The sequence below is a fragment of the Homo sapiens genome, chromosome 2, assembly GCF_000001405.40.
Source record: "Homo sapiens chromosome 2, GRCh38.p14 Primary Assembly".
Classification (NCBI taxonomy): Eukaryota; Metazoa; Chordata; class Mammalia; order Primates; family Hominidae; genus Homo; species Homo sapiens.
In genome coordinates, this window is record NC_000002.12 from 151556890 (window position 1) to 151576100 (window position 19211).

The following is a 19211-nucleotide window of genomic DNA, read 5'->3' on the forward strand; positions in this document are numbered from 1 at the left end:
ACTAGATGCCCACAAGAGAAAGCAGGAAAGATCTAAAACTGACACCCTAACATCACAATTAAAAGAACTAGAGAAGCAAGAGCAAACAAATTCAAAAGCTAGAAGAAGACAAGAAATAATTAAGATCAGAGCAGAACTGAAGGAGATTGAGACACAAAAAACCCTTCAAAAAAATCAATGAATCCAGGAGCTGTTTTTTTGAAAAGATCAACAAAATAGATAGACTGCTAGCAAGACTAATAAAGAAGAAAAGAAAGAAGAATCAAATAGACACAATAAAAAATGATAAAGGGGATATCACCACCGTTCCCACAGAAATACAAACTACCATCAGAGAATACTATAAACACCTCTATGCAAATAAACTAGAAAATCTAGAAGAAATGGATAAATTCCTGGACACATACACCCTCCCAAGACTAAACCAGGAAGAAGTCGAATCCCTGAATAGGCCAATAACAAGTTCTGAAATTGAGGCAGTAATTAATAGCCTCCCAGCCAAAAAAAGTCCAGGACCAGATGGATTCACACCTGGATTCTACCAGAGGTACAAGGAGGAGCTGGTACCATTCCTTCTGAAACTATTCCAAACAACAGAAAAAGAGAGAATCCTCCCTAACTCATTTTATGAGGCCGGCATCATCCTGATACCAAAGCCGGGCAGAGACACAACCAAAAAAGAGAATTTTAGACCAATATCCCTGATGAACATCGATGTGAAAATACTCAATAAAATATTGGCAAACCAAATCCAGCAGCACATCAAAAAGCTTATCTACCTTGATCAAGTCAGCTTCATCACTGGGATGCAAGCCTGGTTCAACATATGCAAATCAATAAATGTAATCTATCACATAAACAGAACCAAGGACAAAAACCACATGATTATCTCAATAGATACAGAAAAGGCATTTGACAAAATTCAACAGCTCTTCATGCTAAAAACTCTCAATAAACTAGGTATTGATGGAATGTATCTCAAAATAGTAAGAGCTATTTATAACAAACCCACAGCCAATATCATACTGAATGGGCAAAAGCTGGAAGCATTCCCTTTGAAAACTGGCACAAGACAGGGATGCCCTCTCTCACCACTCCTATTCAACATAGTATTGGAAGTTCTGGCCAGGGCAATGAGGCAAGAGAAAGAAATAAACGGTATTCAATTAGGAAAAGAGGAAGTCAAATTGTCTCTGTTTGCAGATGGCCTGATTATATATTTAGAAAACCCAACCGTCTCAGCCCAAAATCTCCTTAAGCTGATAAGCAACTTCAGCAAAGTCTCAGAATACAAAATCAATGTGCAAAAATCACAAGCATTCCTATATACCAGTAAAAAACAGAGAGCCAAATCATGAGTGAACTCCCATTCACAACTGCTACAAAGATAATAAAATACCTAGGAATCCAACTTACAAGGGATCTGAAGGACCTCTTCAAGGAGAACTACAAACCACTGCTCAAGGAACTAAGAGAGGACACGAACAAATGGAAAAACATTCTATGCTCATGGATAGGAAGACTCAATATCGTGAAAATAGCCATACTGCCCAAGGTAATCTATAGATTCAATGCTATCCCCATCAAGCTACCATTGACTTTTTTCACAGAATTGGAAAAAATTAAAGCTGGAGGCATTACGCTATCTGACTTCAAACTATACTACAAGGCTAAAGTAATAAAAACACCATGGTACTTTTACCAAAACAGATATATAGACCAATGGAACAGAACAGAGGCCTCAGAAACAACGCCACATATCTACAATCATCTGATCTTTGACAAATCTGACAAAAACAAGCGATGGGGAGAAGACTCCCTATTTAATGAATGGTGCTGGGAAAACTGGCTAGCCATATGCAGAAAGCTGAAACTGGATCCCTTCCTTACACCTCATACAAAAATTAACTCAAGATGGACTAAAAATGTACACATAAGACCTAAAACCATAAAAACCCCAGAAGAAAACCTAGGCAATACCTTTCAGGACACAGGCATGGGCAAACACTTCATGACTGAAACACCAAAAGCAATGGCAACAAAGGCCATTGGAATCTAATTAAACTAAAGAACTTCTGCACAGCAAAAGAAACTACTATCAGAGTGAAAAGGCAACCTACAGAATGGGAAAAAATTTCTGCAATCTATCCATCTGACAATGGGCTACTATCCAGAATCTACAAAGAACTTAAACAAATTTACAAGAAAAAAACAAACAACCCCATCAAAAAGTAGGCGAAGGATATGAACAGACACTTCTCAAAAGAAGACATTTATGCGGCCAACAAATATATGAAAAAATGCTCATCATCACTGGTCATTAGAGAAATGCAAATCAAAACCACAATGAGATACCATCTCACGCCAGTTAGAATGGTGATCATTACAAAGTCAGGAAACAACAGATGCTGGAGAGGATGTAAAGAAATAGGAAGACTTTTACACTGTTGGTGGGAGTGTAAACTAGTTCAACCATTGTGGAAGACAGTGTGGTGATTCCTCAAGGATCTAGAACTAGAAATACCATTTGACCCAGCAATCCCATTACTGGGTATATACCCAATGGATTATAAATCATTCTACTATAAAGACACATGCACACGTATGTTTATTGCAGCACTCTTCACCATAGCAAAGTCTTGGAACCAACCCAAATGCCCATCAATGATAGACTGGATAAAGAAAATATGGCATATATACACCATGGAATACTATGCAGCCATAAAAAAGATGAGTTCATGTCCTTTGCAGGGACATGGATGAAGTTTTAAACCATCATTCTCAGCAAACTAACACAAGAACAGAAAACCAAACACTGCATGTTCTCACTCGTAAGTGGGGGTTGAACAGTGAGAACACATGGACACAGGGAGGGGAACATCACACACTGGGTCCTCTCAGGGAGTAGGGGGCTAGGGGAGGGATAGCATTAGGAGAAATACCTAATGTAGATGATGGGTTGATGGGTGCAGCAAACCACCATGGCATATGTATACCTATGTAATAAACCTCCACGTTCTGCACGTGTACCCCAGAACTTAAAGTATAATAAACCAAAACAAAACACACACACGCAAAAAGGTTTTACTTAAGAACATTAATGGTTAGAGGTCATAAGATTTAAAGGCATAAAGAGTTAGAGGATGTATGATCTTCTACTATATTTAAACAGCTCATGAGATTTAGGGTTTGTTTGTTTTACAATTATGTTTATATCTAAGAAAAGTTCTACCTAAAAAAGGAGAATTAAACAATTTTTAAATGTTTTCTATTTCATTGCTATAAAATAATTTATATTAACTGGGGATGGTATAATAACCGGTTATCATATTCACTGGTTTATTTTTGCCCTACATCCATGTAATTCTATTGAAAAAGTCTATTTCTGTAAGGTGTATTATGTCTTCAGCCCATCCTTACTTCTGACTCTAGCAGAGATTATCATGTGCAGACAGGCAGTCTGAAAGGTCACATCCTGTCCTCTTTGCAAGTGCTTGTGATTCTCTCCAGGCAGCAGAGAGAGACAGGCAGTGAGCACATAGACTCTAATGACTGAGCATTTGGAATTATTTCCTGGACATGCCCACGGGAGTGCTAGGGGTACTTCTGGACAACGTATGAATCAGCCTGAAAGATTCTTGGAGTGGAGAGCAGGGGAGGGGAGGGAGGGTGGGAAAGCTGTCATGTTTTTGCTTTACTTACATGGCTGGCCAGATGCTTCTGGTTCTTGGCGTGTGTCAGGGACAAGGTGCTGGAAGGCAGGATGTAGCTGGTGGCTTTCACTCTATCCCAGGCCTCCTTGTACAGGTTCTGCAGGAATTAAAGACCTTCTTGTGAATATGGGAAAATGCATCTGGTTAGCTTCTGAGTAGCAGGTTTTCCTTCTGTGTCTGTCCTTCTCACACACTCCCTACTAACTCCCAGGACTCCTCTTTAAGGTGGGGCTTATTTAATTGTACCTACTAGAATTTTATGAGGTAAAGTAAGATTGAAGGTCCAGGAAAAAACCATAGAAAAGCCTTTAGGGAAAGAGTGTCCATCCCATTTATTCTCTTACTGTCCCAGAAGGGGGAAAGGTGGCTCATATATAAGGGGGAAAAAAAACTCAACTCACACTGCTGTAAAGATTCTTCAGGTTTCTGGTTCTGTCATAATCCACTGTTTCTAGAACTGTTGTGTATTTGTCCTTAATCTGATGATAATTTTCTTTATATTTTACCTGTAGACAAGCAACAATAGGTTATTCACCTCTGTTGTTAGAAAATACATAAAGACAAGAAATAGTTTGTCCCTGGAAGAGGAGTACAGGAAGACGCACCTCACTGGCATTAATGCCACTCTGAACAGCAGTCACATAGAGGGGCGTGTCTGTGACCAGATTATAGTTTTGTAGATTTTCTTTACCTGCTGCTGTATATTGTAGCTGTGAAGAAAAACAAAAGTCATCAAAAATGGTAACATACAGGTCTGTCATCAGCTGTAGCTGCTTGTGCCAACTTACATGTGCCTTTATTTCTGGATTTCTGCTTTAATCCTAACAAACAGGCTGTCATTCTAGAGTCCTGCAGACTTTGTATGGCTGCCAGAATGAATAGCTTCTCTTGACTGAGACTGGGGTTGAGATTTTGGCCATTTTGTTGCCTTTTCCATGCCTATTCTCCATCCCTGACAGCAGCCCCTCACTTTTTTTTTTTTTTGGTTTCGAACACTTTTTTTTTTTTATTATTATACTTTAAGTTTTAGGGTACATGTGCACAATGTGCAGGTTAGTTACATATGTATACATGCCCCTCACTTTTAACATTCCATTACAACTGCCCTATCAGAGCTGAACCACGTGCTGAAAAGTTTTCCAGATACTGATCTTTTTCCTCCAAAACTTATCTACCTGTAATCAAAGGATGCTTCTACCTCCTACTCTCTGCAAGTTAACTTGATCAACTAAGGTACAGATGCTTGAGAGTAGTTCACTAAGAAACACCTCCCAGATAAGCTTTTATTATAAATGTGCATTGCCTTAAACCAAAGGAGAGACTCAGACTGGGAAGATCCAGCCCCAGAGCAGGACACTAGAAGAGCTTTGATTGGGAGAGGAGGGGCTTTGGTCAGTTAGAGCCTACACTGTTACAGCAACTTTCTTTGCCTGCCCATCAGCCCACTGACACCACCATGGATTCTGATGACCCATGGAGAACCAGTCCTTCTAGGAAGGTGGCTCACCTGACTCTGAAGGTCGTATGATTTCTTGGCATGGAGGATTTGGGGTGTATCCCAAACGTAGCAACCAATGCCTTTCAACCAATTCAGGTCATCTTTATACACATTCTGCAAGAAAGAGAGAACAATGAAATGTGGAAGGTATTCTGAATTTACAATTGAGCATTTGATAATTTCCTATCAGCTGTTGGCTGTGCTTATTGCTTAGAAGACATAGGGTAGGCCTCTCACCAGCTGGAAGGTCTTTAATTCCCAAGCCTAAAGAAGCTTGAGAGCAATATCAATGTCTGAGTCTATTGTGAAACCAATTAAATATTTAACATATGTGTCCTATGGCTTAGGGTGGATTCTTATACCAAAAAGTGGCTCATGCCACTTTGTTTTGAGAAGCAGCAAGATTTATGAATACAGGGACAACGGGAGCATGGCAGCCAGGGTTGGGGGGTAGCCAAGACACAGTCATGGAAGCTGTAGCTGAGTCAAGCTGCAGAAGGGACATCATACATCACTCAAGATCTCCTGGGCGTTTCGGACGCGTATAACATTGGGTTCTTCCAGAAGAGACGTCCACTGGTGGAAATAGTGTCGATACTCCAGGTCACTGAGGATGTACTGGCACCTTTTAGCCAGCACGTGATTCATCATGTCATTGGGGATATGAACATTTGCTTTGGTATCCTCATAATGTTTTCTGTAGTTCAACTAATATGTTTTAAAGACAAAAATAAGAAAGGGGTTTAAATGTAAATTATTCAGATCAATGTCTTTTAGATCCTTATTTCCCATATAGATCAGTATCTCTAGAATAAACTAAGGTTAATATATACTTTATTATATTCTTTATACTTTATATATATATACTTTATATACTTTAATATATTCTTCTTCTTTTGAAATTTCCCATCTTTTTTTTTTTTTTTTTTTTTGAGATGGTGTCCTACTCTGTTGCCCAGACTGGATTGCAATGGTGTGATCTCCACTCACTGCAACCTCTGCCTCCTGGGTTCAAATAATTCTCATGCCTCAGCATCCAGAGTAACTAGAATTACAGGCATGCACCACCACGCCCAGCTAATTTTTGTATTTTTAGTAGAGATGAGGTTTCACCATGTTGGCCAGGCCAGTCTCGAACTCCTGACCTCTGGTGATCTGCCTGCCTTGGCCTCCAAAGTGCTGGGATTACAGGTGTGAGCCATTTCACCTGGCCTGAAGTTTTCCATCCTTTTATAACACAGGGTAAATAGTGACCTTGATGCTTTTTCCTTTTCTGAACACAAAGCAGTCACAGTGTTAAATAGTCAGGGAGAAAGTGGCAGGGAGGAAGCACACAGCTACCAAGAGTCCACAGGCTGACTTGGAGGGGTGAGGAAAATCTCAGGAAGGACCCTACGCTACTCCATTTCCCAGCTAACCTGAACCAAAGGGCAAGTTATAAACAGGCAGACACGGCAGCACACTTATGGGGCACAAATCCCGTGTTAAAGTGGACATTTACTTACCGCACTCCTCATCTTTTGGAAATCCAGACAGTGAACCACACCAGGGAATTCACCGATCACTTTTCCAGCCAGGTAGTGACCTTTCTGCTTCTCATATGTCTCTTTGTATTTAAGCTGTAAAGTGGGTTAAACATTGAGAATCGCTGGAGTTTCCTAACCAGCCCCTTGATCCCCAGTAAAGACTCTCAAACTTAGGAGAGGAAAAGGTCATACTGACCTCACTGTTCACCAGATCAGCATGCTTGGCTCCAACAATGGGAATGTAGCGCTCATCCAGGGTGTAGCCATAGGCCTTGGTGCCCTCCCACGCCCCTTTATACAGTATCTAGAACAAAGAAATACATGGCAACAAAAGTTTTCTTTCAACTTCTTTCAGATACCACTAAAACAATTGGTCTAATTAAGGTGAAACATGTATGTTCAAGGCAAGGCTGAAATCTTTATCTATAGCCATTAGTGCATCTACCTAGAATAGGGCAGTTATTTGGTTTATTGCAAATTAAACTTACAGACTCGAGGCATTTTATTTTTTATTTTATTTTATTTTATTTTATTTTTATGTTTTTTGAGACAGAATCTTGCTCCATCACCCAGGCTGGAGTGCAGTGCCGTGATCTAAGCTCACTGCAAACTCTACCTCCTGGGTTCAAGAGATTCTCCTGTCTCAGCCTCCAGAGTAGCTGGGATTACACGCACGCACCACTATGCCTGGCTAATTTTTGTATTTTTAGTAGAGATGGGGTTTCACCGTGTTGGCCAAGCTGGTCTAACTCCTGACCTCAGGTGATCTACCAACCTCACCCTCCCAAAGTGCTGGGATTATAGGCGTGAGCCACCATGCCCAGCCAACTCTAGGCATTTTATAAGAGTTGACTATTTTTGCGGTCCTAGTAAAAGTGACAACAAATTTGCACACAGGGAGAGAACTGGCAAATATTCTTTCCCATTGGGTGCACACATGTACACTATTGGTCTCCTTTAAATTAGCTGAATGAAATTTTGGAGGGCAAGTTCTCCTCTTGTTGGCTAGAGATGCTGATGCGTGATTACTAAAGAGGGACCAACCTTACCTCCCTTTTCTCTATTGGTAGGTGCTCAATGCTATGTGCCCCCAGAGCACTTGTTAGATTATTATTCTATCAATTTAAGTCTGTTCCCCTCACTTGCACGATCTCCTGAAGGCTTGTCTCATTGAGCTTTAGCCCCTCATTGCCTCCTAAAGAGCCCGGCACATCACGGGAGCTCAAAAGCACCAGCTGAATAAACGCTATTTGCCTTGAATAACATGGTACTTCTAATACACAAGACTAAGTGCAATGGGAAAATAAATAATAGATTGGCTTATAAGTTCAGCAGTTGACAAAATCAGCCAAGAATATGAATGCAACAAGAGCTTCAAATTAGAAATTGAGTGGTTATTACATAAAAGAGAACTTACAGTACTGTAGAGTTTTCCCATGTCTTTGGAGTGGGAGATATGTGGTGTATCTGGTGAAAACGTATATTTGCCCTTTGCTTTATTAAATGTTTCTTTATATTTTACCTAAGGAGAGAAAACCAAATCTTTTATTACTATAAATGAATATTAAATTTTTATAAGATTACCTAGAAACATAATCAGTCCACGTTTAAAGATTAAAACTAACCAACTGGTTGAATTTTAGCCCATTTTAGCTAAAACAATAGAATAATTTGGATAGGAATATAGATATCTAAAAGTGAATACAATTCACCACCTGCTAGTGACTTTTAAGACATACCCCCCAAAGATGATCTTAGAATTTACCACCTCCCAATTTTTTTACAAGCAATTATCTAAAGTTAAGCTAATCCACCCAATGATAGACAATTTACTCCCCAGTCTGTGCACTTCAGCATGCACAAAGCAAACTTACATCACTTTGATTGACAGAATTAATCTTGGCTAAAACAATCTCTGGAGGATCCACCACACTTCTAAAGTTAGGATAGTTTTCAAGGGCATTTTTCTTATATTTGATCTGTAAAGAAACGGAGACAATTAAGACAGGTCTACCACCACAGGTTATCTACCCCAACATGGCAGGTAGGAGGACAGGCATAGGTTAGAAGGAGAATAGGCTTTGCGTACCTGACTCATCATTTCCTGGTTCTTAGTAACCCTTACATGGTCCACAGAATCCAGTGGGATCCAGCCAATGCCTCGGAGCCACTCCAGGTCAGCTCTGTAGACATTCTGAGAGCAGGAAGAGAGATATAATGGAGGAATAAATGACTGAGACACAGGCTTACAGAGGGCAGGTTACAATTTTTTCAGAAGCTTTTAAAGGATTTCTCTCTAGTAGTTTTCTCATTCATTCAATTGTGATTTCACCTGAGCAATATTTCTTGAGGCTGTTACTGTGCATGAGGCACTATGCTTGGTGTTTTGATGAATAAGTATAAAGAAGGAGTCTAGGAGTTGAGATAAGTCATTTATAAAGCAAGAAGTGCTGTTAGATCGAGTGCTCAAATGCTATTGGAGTTGAGGGGAAGGGGCTGTTATTTTCTGCTATCGTCATAAGAAAAGGCTTACCAAGGAGGTTGTACTTTTAGATGGATTTGATACATTTAGTCACGTAGAAGTATGTGGGGCATTTAGACTAAATGAGGGAAACTACACAAGTAAATATTCACGTATTGGGTAGGGGAGGCATCCCCTGGGTCCCAGCCAAACCTATTCTTGCCCTTACGCCTTCAAGAACCTAGATTCTCCCAGCCAACTCGACATGAAAATAAGAAGAGTTGCTATTCTGATTTAAGTTCCACAACAGCTATTTTGCTGCAGCAACCAGTGAGGTCAGATGTTCAAGTTCAACATCTATGCTGCAGCAGTCTTTGACTTCCAGGTTCCCTTTTGTTAATGATGAGAAGACCCAGGGAGCATTAGCTTCTCTGGGCACCTAAGCAACTAAGTTGATGCATCCAGTTACTGTTCTGCACATGCAGAAGGCTGGTGGCAAGTAGAGATCTTGATTCAGGCTTCAGTGGGAGGTAGGTTATGTCTTATTCTCTATCCTAGCTTTACCAAAGCTCTGCATGAGGCATACTGGGCCCTCATGCAGCTTAATCAGTATTTTGTTTCTCTTTTGCTTTGCGAACAACTTCATAAATGCCGTGAGGAATGAGATGCTTGGCAAAGCAGGAATAGGGCATGCTTAGGTCTTTAACTGTGCTATCATCTAATATTGTCAAAACCTCAACTCATTCTCAATTCCCACCCAAGCCAATTATTATTTTCCATCAGCTGATACTTTTCTATGTGAATGTGAGTGAGGAGTTGCTGATGGCCAAAATGGTACAAAAGCAGCAGATTTTTTTTAAAAAAATTTGATTGAAAGTTACTCAGAAATGCAGTCAGTAGGCAAACCAATCAATCCATCACTGCTCCTGATCTTTCTTCATATCCAGCCTCAATTCCCTTTGGGAACAAATTAAATATCGATGGCCTCAAATTTCAAGCACTTGTGGATCTGGGATGTTGCTCATCATTCTCAGAGTGTACCATGCGTTTCTAGATAATGAAGAAACAAAAATCACTTACATCACTCTGTAGGTCATAGGCCTTTCTTGCCTGAATAACATCGTTCTGGTCAGGATGACACATCCATTGGTGCAAGTAATTACGATAATCAATATCACTGACAAGGGTCTGCCCCTGCTTGGCGGCCAAGACTGACACCATATCAGCAGGTATATTGATTTTGGCCTTTGTTTTGTGATAGTCCTCTTTGTATAGTCTCTCATTCTGAATCTGGCCTGCATGCTCAAACCAAACCAGCTTAGGATCATCTCTCATCGTCGGGACACCAACATAATGACCTTTTTGCTTCACATGTTCAGCTTTGTATTTCAGCTGGCGAGAAGAGGAATATAAATTCCATCAGTTTTGACAAGCACACAAGGCAGAGGGGGCTTGATCATCTACTAAGGGATATCAGCAAATTCAGCCCCCCAGCTTTTTGTTTGACACCCCCAACTCTGAGAGCAAATAATAAAAAGCATTGAAATAAATCCATATGAAGAAACACCCATTTAAAAATAGAAAAATATTCTGCTGAGATAGCCCTAAAAATGATAAAAATAAAATTTAAAAAATAAAAATAGAGAAAAAATATATACTTGTTCTCTGATTCTGGCAATATTTTTATTCAAAGGCCTAAAGATTTTAGGGAGGGCAGAGAATATAAGAAAAAGTAAAGAATTTGAACAATTGCTTTTAAAAAAGCCAAGGGGGGTGGTGGGCGGGTGAAGAAACAAGAAAGCTCAAAGCCCATGGAAGAAAGACCGAAAAGTGAGCAGGTACTCCAACCATCACCAAGCCTGGCCAGGTCTGCCACACTGAAACTGAACACCTGGAAGGTGCTATCTCTGCCTTTGGCATAACTGGAATCCCTGGGAGCAAGGTCCCACTTTTGCAAAATGCACTCCCATCAGGATGTATTACCTCACTCTGAACGTCATTGCAGTGATGGGCATGAACAAATGGCACAGCATCTGGAGGCAAAATGTAACCTGTGGCTTTTTGTCTCTCCCAGCCTTCCTTGTAGAGATACTGAAAGACAGAGCCACCATAAAGGGTTAAAATGAGGAGTCAGAAGGGAGGGGTAAGTTGTGTGCATAATTATCCTACAGTTCCATTAAGGCCCTCCACTCGTACACAAACACCAGGCATGTGGGTGAAACCCATACCTGGTCCAGTATCCTAGCAGCCTCCTGGGCAGTGTGCAGCAGGGGGGTTTCTGTGAGGGTGTACTTTGATTTGGTGGCATTCCAGTCTTTCCGGTATTTAATCTAAAAAAAAAAAAATGAGAGGCAAGGGGGCAAGTTACTTGTTAAGAAAGCATCATGTTGTCCAAGCAATTGTTAGCATCCATCATTTCAATGATTAAAATCTGTATTTCAGATGATTGCATTCTGAGTGTAAGTAGATGGAAAAGCTTTGGAAGTGATATCTGCATCACTGTGAGATTTTAAAACAGCCATATACTTACATCATCGAGGATCTCGCCACTTTGTTTCGCTGTCACATAATCAACTCTGTCATCCACAGGCGTAAAGTTGAGAGTTTCTATTTTTGTGCGATATTTTTTCTATGGGAAAGAAAGCATCTTTTAGATAGTTGTAATTCCTAGACATGTGTGAACTGAGAAGATACACTAAATTTAGAGTCCTTCTCTACTAGAAACATACAGTGCCGTATTTGAATAGCGTCTTCTTGGGAATTTGGCTTTCTTTTTAGCATTTTATTTTTTAAACAAATGCATCAGCTTCTTATGCCTCCCACAGATTTTAAAGTAGGAAGTTTGCTTAGCTCTCAAAGTTATATAATGTATCATTATGTGTACTGTAATGCACATTTTTCCAACGAAACAAACTTTTCCCAAGTATATTGCTATTGCTGACAAAAAGATTTTTCCATTTATACAATGCCAAGCATCAGTGAGTGTGCTGGATATTATATTATGGATGTGGTCCCATAATGTGATAGCGACAGTACATTTTGAAAAATATATATGCTCAGTTTAAATCACAGCAATTGAAATGGTTAAGATTGCTGATATTAGATGACTATATTTTAGCTTGTGCATTTTGTCACTTTCTTGGGAAATGTACTGAATGTCAGGGTAAAATCTTGGAATACCTCACTGAAGATGTCCGCGGCATGTTTGGCATGATTGACGGACACGGAGTCATTTGGCATCCACCCAATTCCACGCAACCATTCCAAGTCAGCCTTGTAAACATTCTGTGAAAACAGGGCCAGAATGAGTTCAGCAACCCTGGTCATGTGGTCCTAGTTAGCCTATCCATTGGTCTCATGAAGAAATACAATGTAAATGCTATATAAGCCAAGGAGGACATACTCAAGCAGCCACGCAGGTAATGTAAGAAAATTAATTAGGCGGCCAGGCAGTGTGACAAACGATAGCATATATTTTTATTTAAAGGGGGTTATCCTTGATTCCATTCTGGTTATTGTTACTAAGGGATAATTCAGAGCTGTGTCCTCTGAATTTCCAAGAGAAATGGGAAATCCGACATTTGTACACAAAAATTTTTGGATTTTAAAATCTTGGCAACTTAATTCAAAATTTCTAAACACTGTATCAATTAAAAAAGCATGTCTGTGCCTACATCCTGTCCATGGGCTGCCAATATTTTACTGGATATAAGCCTCTATTGCTATCTAAATTCTATAGAAAGAATATTTTCACAGTTTTCTTTAATCTGATACAATTAAGACCTGTATTCATACTACCATTTATTTCTTGATATAAAGTCCAGGTCCTTCTTGGATTTGGTGATTTTGATACCATACTATAAGGTCTCACTAATATTAAATTCTTGGTGATATGAAGTCGTAAAATGATGACAGAAGGGGTTAGTGTCATAAACTCTCTGGAAGTCATGGCAAACTGAGAAAAGAGTTCAACCCCAAATGCAGCCCACTCACATCGCTCTGCAGTTCGTAGGCCTTCTTGGCCTGAATCACATCGTTCTGGTCGGGCATGCAGGTCCACTGGTGCAGGTAATTGCGGTAATCCATGTCACTGACCAGAGCCTGGGAATTTTTAGAGTGCAGGATGGAAAGCATGTCCACAGGGCTCTGGATCTTGGCCTTCCATTTGGCCCAGTCCAGCCGGTACTCTCGTTCATTCTGGAGCTTGTCAGCTATGAGGGCCCAGCGGATCTTGTTGTCATCCCTGGCTGTGAGGGTGCCCACGTAGTGTCCCTTCTGCTTCTCATGGTCAAGCTTATATTTATACTGGAGATGCAAAAATAAAGCAGATGGGTCACAGCATGTCCTCTTGATGCACCTAGGGCATCGGCTGAAAAAAAAAAACTGAGAAGTTAAAAAAGGCCACTCACGTCACTGGCAATCTCCCTGGAGGCCTTGGCAGCCTGGATGGGGATGGCATCCAGCCGGACATCACAGCCCGCCTTCATTTCATCCCAGCCCTCACGGTAAAGTTTCTGAAAAGGAGAAAAATAAGGTATCATCCTAGATTCAAATTTGCCAATACCTTCAATGGCTCAGGTGGAATTAATACCACAGGGGCACAGTTTTGAAGCCCAAGGACTTGAGAGCAGTTAAAGAAGAGCATAGATGAGAATCATTCTATGCACCATTGTCCTGGAACATGTAATGGTGTCTGGAGTCCAAAGGTCTGGGCTTGACAATCTCCTTTCTTTTGTTTTTATTATTTTTAATGTTTTATATTTTATTTTTATGGGTACATAGTAGGTATATACATATTTATAGGGTGCATGAGATATTTTAATATAGGCATACAATGGGTAATAGTCACATGAGGATAACTGGGTATCCACCACCTCAAGCATTTATCATGTCTGTGTCATAAACATTCCAATTATACTCTTTTTCTTTTTTTTTGAGACGGAGTTTCGCTCTTGTTGCCCAGGCTGGAGGGCAATGGCACCATCTCGGCTCACCCCAAACTCTGCCTCCCAGGCTCAAGCCATTCTCCTTCCTCAGCCTCCCGAGTAGCTGGGATTACAGGCATGCGCCACCAGGCCCAGCTAATTTTGTATTTTTAGTAGAGACAGGGTTTCTCCATGTTGGTCAGGCTGGTCTCAAACTCCTGACCCTCAGGTGATCCACCTGCCTCGGCCTCCCAAAGTGCTCCAATAATATTCTTTCAGTTGTTTTCAAATGTACAATAAATTTTAAATTTGAATGATAGCCTTGAAGTAGTTGCTCATGCTTTATAATCTCGTTCATAAAAAGGGTTTGGCTTTGTTTTCTTGTGTTGGTGTATTGGTAACATTGAGATAACTTTAGACATTAATGGGTTATTGAATTTCTTTAATGCAATAATTCAATTTATTTATCTCTAATTCAATTCAGTTTTGTAACCTTCAGAATTGTAAACTTGTTACATTTGTGGGTTTTTTTCAATATGGCTTTTTTGATCTTATATGATTAATGATCCATATCATTTGGTAATGTTAGATCTTCCGCTGAAGCATGATTGGATGTCACAGCTATTTTTTTGGTTGTAAAGAGAAGTTAACTAAAGTAGTGACTGATTTACAAGTATTTTAAAAATGTATGTAAATATATGTTCATATTTTAATGGATACATTGTGTATTAACAAATAACAGAGAGACTCGGAAATAATAGTAATTTAAACATATAATTCACAAATCATACCTATCAGTAGGGGATCTTCTACAGCACAGAAAGAAGTGGATTTTAATTAGTGACAGTTTTGTAGCTTTTGCATGTCTGAAAAATGAGTGCTCAAATTTTATCCTTGTAAGCATGGACAGGTTTTATATGAATTTTCAATCAAGCTTTTGTATAAATTTTGAGTAGGCCTATTTTGACAACTGACTTGTTTTCTGTACAGAAGAAAAAATATTCTCCATATTAAAATGTACAAGAAGGGCTGGGTGCAGTGGCTTACGCCTATAATCCCAGCACTTTGGGAGGCCGAGGCAGGTGGATCACTTGAAGTCAGGAGTTTGAGACCAGCCTAGCCAACATGGTGAAACCTTGTCTCTATTAAAAATACACAAATTAGCTGGGTGTGGTGGCACACACCTGTAATCCCAGCTACTAGAGATGCTGAGGCAGGAGCATCGCTTGAACCCGGGAGGCAGAAGTTTCAGCAAGCTGAGATCACGCCACTGTACTCCAGCCTGGGTGACAGAGCAAGACTCCCTCTCAAAAAATAAATAAATAAAGTAATTAATTAATTAAACTACAAAATAGTTAATGCAAACGTGTATTATGTTATCTTTTTACTTTTTGTTTTCATTCTATTTTATTATGCACATTTTCACACTATTTCTTATGTAATGCTTTTTATGAGATTGAATATATATATTGAATATTTATATATATTGAATATTTATATATATATATAAAATATATATATAAAAGTATATATATATATACTTTTTTTTTTTTGACAGAGTCTCGCTCTGTCACCCAAGCTGGAGTGAAGTGGCACGATCTCAGCTCACTGCAACCTCTGCCTCCTAGGTTCAAACGATTCTTGTGCCTCAGCCACCCAAGTAGCTGGGATTACAGGTGAGCCACCACTATGCCTGGCTATTTTTTGTATTTTTAGTAGAGATGGGGTTTCATTCATCACGTTGGCCAGGCTGGTCTCGAACTCTGGCCTCAAGTGATCCACCCTCCTCAGCCTCCCAAAGTGCTGGGATTACAGGCATGAGCCACCATGCCCAGCCAAGTATGTATATATTTTTAACTAAAAAAAAAAAAAAAAAGCCCGGGGCCTGAGACCCAATGTTTTCAGCTACTAACTTTGAGAACATGGGAAAATTTCTTAACTTTTAAAAATCTCAATTTACCATCTGATAAAAACAAAATAACAATATCTTACTCAATGTAGTGAGCATGAAGATTACATGAGTCACTTTAACGTGAATTTGCTTTGTTACCCATAAAATCACATACAAATATTCTGCTAAAGTTGTGCTTTCTAAATAACGGCAGCAGTTTTAAATTGTGGGTTTAATCAAGATTACAGTAATGGTGATACACTTGTAAAGAAAATGCTGTATAGTTTGGTTAGCATTCAAATGGGGTGTTTGATTTCTTCCAAAATGGAAGTCATTCTCATTAATATCTTAATAAAGTTAATAATTTTACTTTTAGCATAATTTTGAATATTAGTCTTGTTCATATAATATCAATGGTAAGGTTCTGGTGTTTTCAGCTGAGAAATTTATCATGCAAAAGAGAGCATATGTGACTTTCCAGAATTCTCCTGCCACAGATGCCTATGGATTGAGTGGGAAGAGGCGTCTATACTGCAGTGAAGAACTGACTACCCCTTGATTCAGCCTCTTGACAAGAATGCGCTGCACCATGATATTGATATCTGGTCCAAAAGAGAAAATACATCAGCGCCCTAAAATTATATTTTCTTCTTAAACACTGGAAAACATTAGTCCCCAAGTGGCTCATTATACCAGAACTTATAGAGCTGTTTGGCACATGGTGAGGAATCTTTGCTGGCAGCCTCCTTCTCTCACAAAGACATATTATTCTTTTGAAAGCATGCAAAGTTTCAAGCCTTGGCAAATTGCACTAAGGTAGTATCCTTCTTCTTCTGAGGTCATACTATTCTACACACAAGTAATTTCTGCGATCCATGAAAATGGTATCTTCCTTGAACTTTCTTGAATTGTGTAGCCAGCCACGTAACTGGATTATCTTGTACTCACAAATAGTTTTTTTTTTCCTCAGTTGATTCTCTTTTTTAAGACTTAAAATGACTTCTTCTGCAAATAATGATAATTTGGCCTCTTTCTTTCCAATATTTATCTTCTGTTCTTACTCTTTTTTGTTTGTTTGTTTGTTTTTTAAGACAGAGTCTCGCTCTGTCGCCCACGCTGGAGTACAGTGGCGTGATCTCGGCTTACTGCTAGCTCCGCCTCCTGGGTTTCACGCCATTCTCCTGCCTCAGTCTCCTGAGTAGCTGGGACTACAGGCACCCACCACCACGCCCAGCTAATTTTTTGTATTTTTAGTAGAGACAGGGTTTCACCGTGTTAGGCAGGATGGTCTCGATCTCCTGACCTCGTGATTCGCCTGCCTTGGCCTCCCAAAGTGCTGGGATTACAGGCGTGAGCCATCGCGCCAGGCATGTTCTTACTCTTGAGTAATTATATTAGCATCAATGAGAATCTCACTCACTTAGCCAATACTTCCAGCAAATGTTAAATAATGATGATATTAGGGGCACCCTCATTTTAATCCTGATATGAATGAGAAGTTTGGTCACTGAGGATGAGTTGGCCTTTGATTTGAGATTTATTTTTCAGTCATGTTGAGAAAATATTCATTTATTCTTTCTTAACTAAGATTTTATTTTTAAAAAATAAGAATGGGTATTGGATTTTGTCAGATGCCATGTAAATCTAATAAAATGAGCCTTTTCTTCTTGTTCTATGGCACTATTAGGTCTCTGACTATGGGGCCCTCTTGGCATTCCTGCATGAACCCCAGTTGATTATATCTTATCATTTTAATGTAATGCTGAATTTGATTTATTAATATTTAAGATTCCCCCCATTATTGGTCTACAGTTTAAATTTTATTTATTTATTTATTTATTTATTTGAGACAGGGTCTTGCCCTGTCACCCAGGCTGGACTGCAGTGGCATGATTATGGCTCACTGCAGCCTCTTCCTCCTGGGCTCAAGTGATCCTCCCACCTGAGCCTCCCAAGTAACTTGGGCCACAGGTGCACCTCACTTTGCCCAACTAATTTATTTATTTTTTATTTTCTTGCAGAGATGGGGTCTCCCTATGTTGCCCAGACTAGTCTTGAACTCCTGGGCTCAAGCAATCCTCTGGCCTTGACCTCCCAAAGTACTGGGATTATAGGCATGAGCCACCATGCCCAGCTGGTCTATAGTTTTTAATTTGTGACACTATCTTTGAAAAGTTTTGGTAATTGCAATGGATTTCCTTCTTTTACTAGGCTCCTGGTAATTTATTTATTTATTGAAGTTTTGAAATAATCAAGGGGACCCTGACACTTGAAAGTAGGAAGAAAAGTGTTTAAATGTTCTCCTTAATTTCTTAATTAAGAAACCTCTTAATTTCTTGCTGTATGTTTTTTGGTTTTTTCTCCTTGGGTCAATTTTGGTCACTTATGATTTTCTAGAAAACCCCCCGAGGTCCATGTTTTAAAATTAATTCATATATTTTTACAAAGACTTCTCATAATTATTTTGAGTCTATCTGAGTCTATCGTTAATTCTCTTTTCTTGTTTGTGCATCTCTTCATTCGTCTTTCACCTTCTTTGTCCCCTTATTCAAAAAGGACAACTAAAGAGACTTTTGTTGTGGAGATATTGACTCACCAGTAACTGGCCTTGCCCAGTGAATCACCAGGGATCTCCTCCTTGCCTCACTCCTAGTCAAGGGGTGACCACAAGGAGTCTTCCCCTGTTGCGGGAAGTCAGGGACCGAGTCCATCTTCCCTCCCTTCCATGCTCATAGTATAGCCCTGACTGGGTAACTTTCCAAACAAAAAGAGAGTCTGTTGTAGTACTTACATTGCTCACATTAAGAGCATTTGCTCTAGCGAGATTAATTTCTGGAGTATCTGGCATTATGTGTATTGAAGTTTTATCCTTGTCCCAAACCTCTCTGTACTTTGGCTGTGGAAAGAAACAAAAATAATAAAATTACTTCACAATTTTCATGTTGCTAGTCCCACTATGCAACTTTTAAATTTTCTTTTGGATTTGATCCAAAACCCTTTCATGTTAGGGCAAAGATTTCTGGAATCTTTTCACGTAAGTTACTCAAATTTGATATAAAATCTGTATTATTCCCTTTTATTAGAGTTTTTGCTTAAAATTAATAAGCAAACCAAGACAATACTGTATTACTTAATAAAATTTTTGTTATTAATAAAGTTTTTATTATTCTAAAATAAATGACCAGGTTTATTCTTTC

The 19211-nt window shown here is 39.4% G+C and overlaps 1 protein-coding gene across 47 annotated transcripts in view; it reads right to left on the reverse strand.

The window, feature by feature from the left end:
* NEB (nebulin) overlaps nt 1–19211 on the reverse strand; it is a 249138-nt gene that overhangs the window by 71551 nt on the left and 158376 nt on the right. For all 47 annotated transcript variants that reach the window (XM_011511227.3, XM_011511226.3, XM_005246613.3 and 44 more), the window contains 18 exons: nt 18806–18910; nt 13608–13712; nt 13192–13503; nt 12379–12483; nt 11729–11827; nt 11427–11528; nt 11182–11289; nt 10279–10590; nt 8827–8931; nt 8612–8716; nt 8155–8259; nt 6934–7041; nt 6717–6830; nt 5722–5919; nt 5221–5325; nt 4319–4423; nt 4115–4219; nt 3703–3810 (listed from right to left, as the gene is read on the reverse strand). In XM_011511227.3, the coding sequence (XP_011509529.1) occupies nt 3703–3810; nt 4115–4219; nt 4319–4423; nt 5221–5325; nt 5722–5919; nt 6717–6830; nt 6934–7041; nt 8155–8259; nt 8612–8716; nt 8827–8931; nt 10279–10590; nt 11182–11289; nt 11427–11528; nt 11729–11827; nt 12379–12483; nt 13192–13503; nt 13608–13712; nt 18806–18910 (2406 nt within the window). The remainder of the gene's footprint in view (nt 1–3702; nt 3811–4114; nt 4220–4318; nt 4424–5220; nt 5326–5721; nt 5920–6716; nt 6831–6933; nt 7042–8154; nt 8260–8611; nt 8717–8826; nt 8932–10278; nt 10591–11181; nt 11290–11426; nt 11529–11728; nt 11828–12378; nt 12484–13191; nt 13504–13607; nt 13713–18805; nt 18911–19211) is intronic.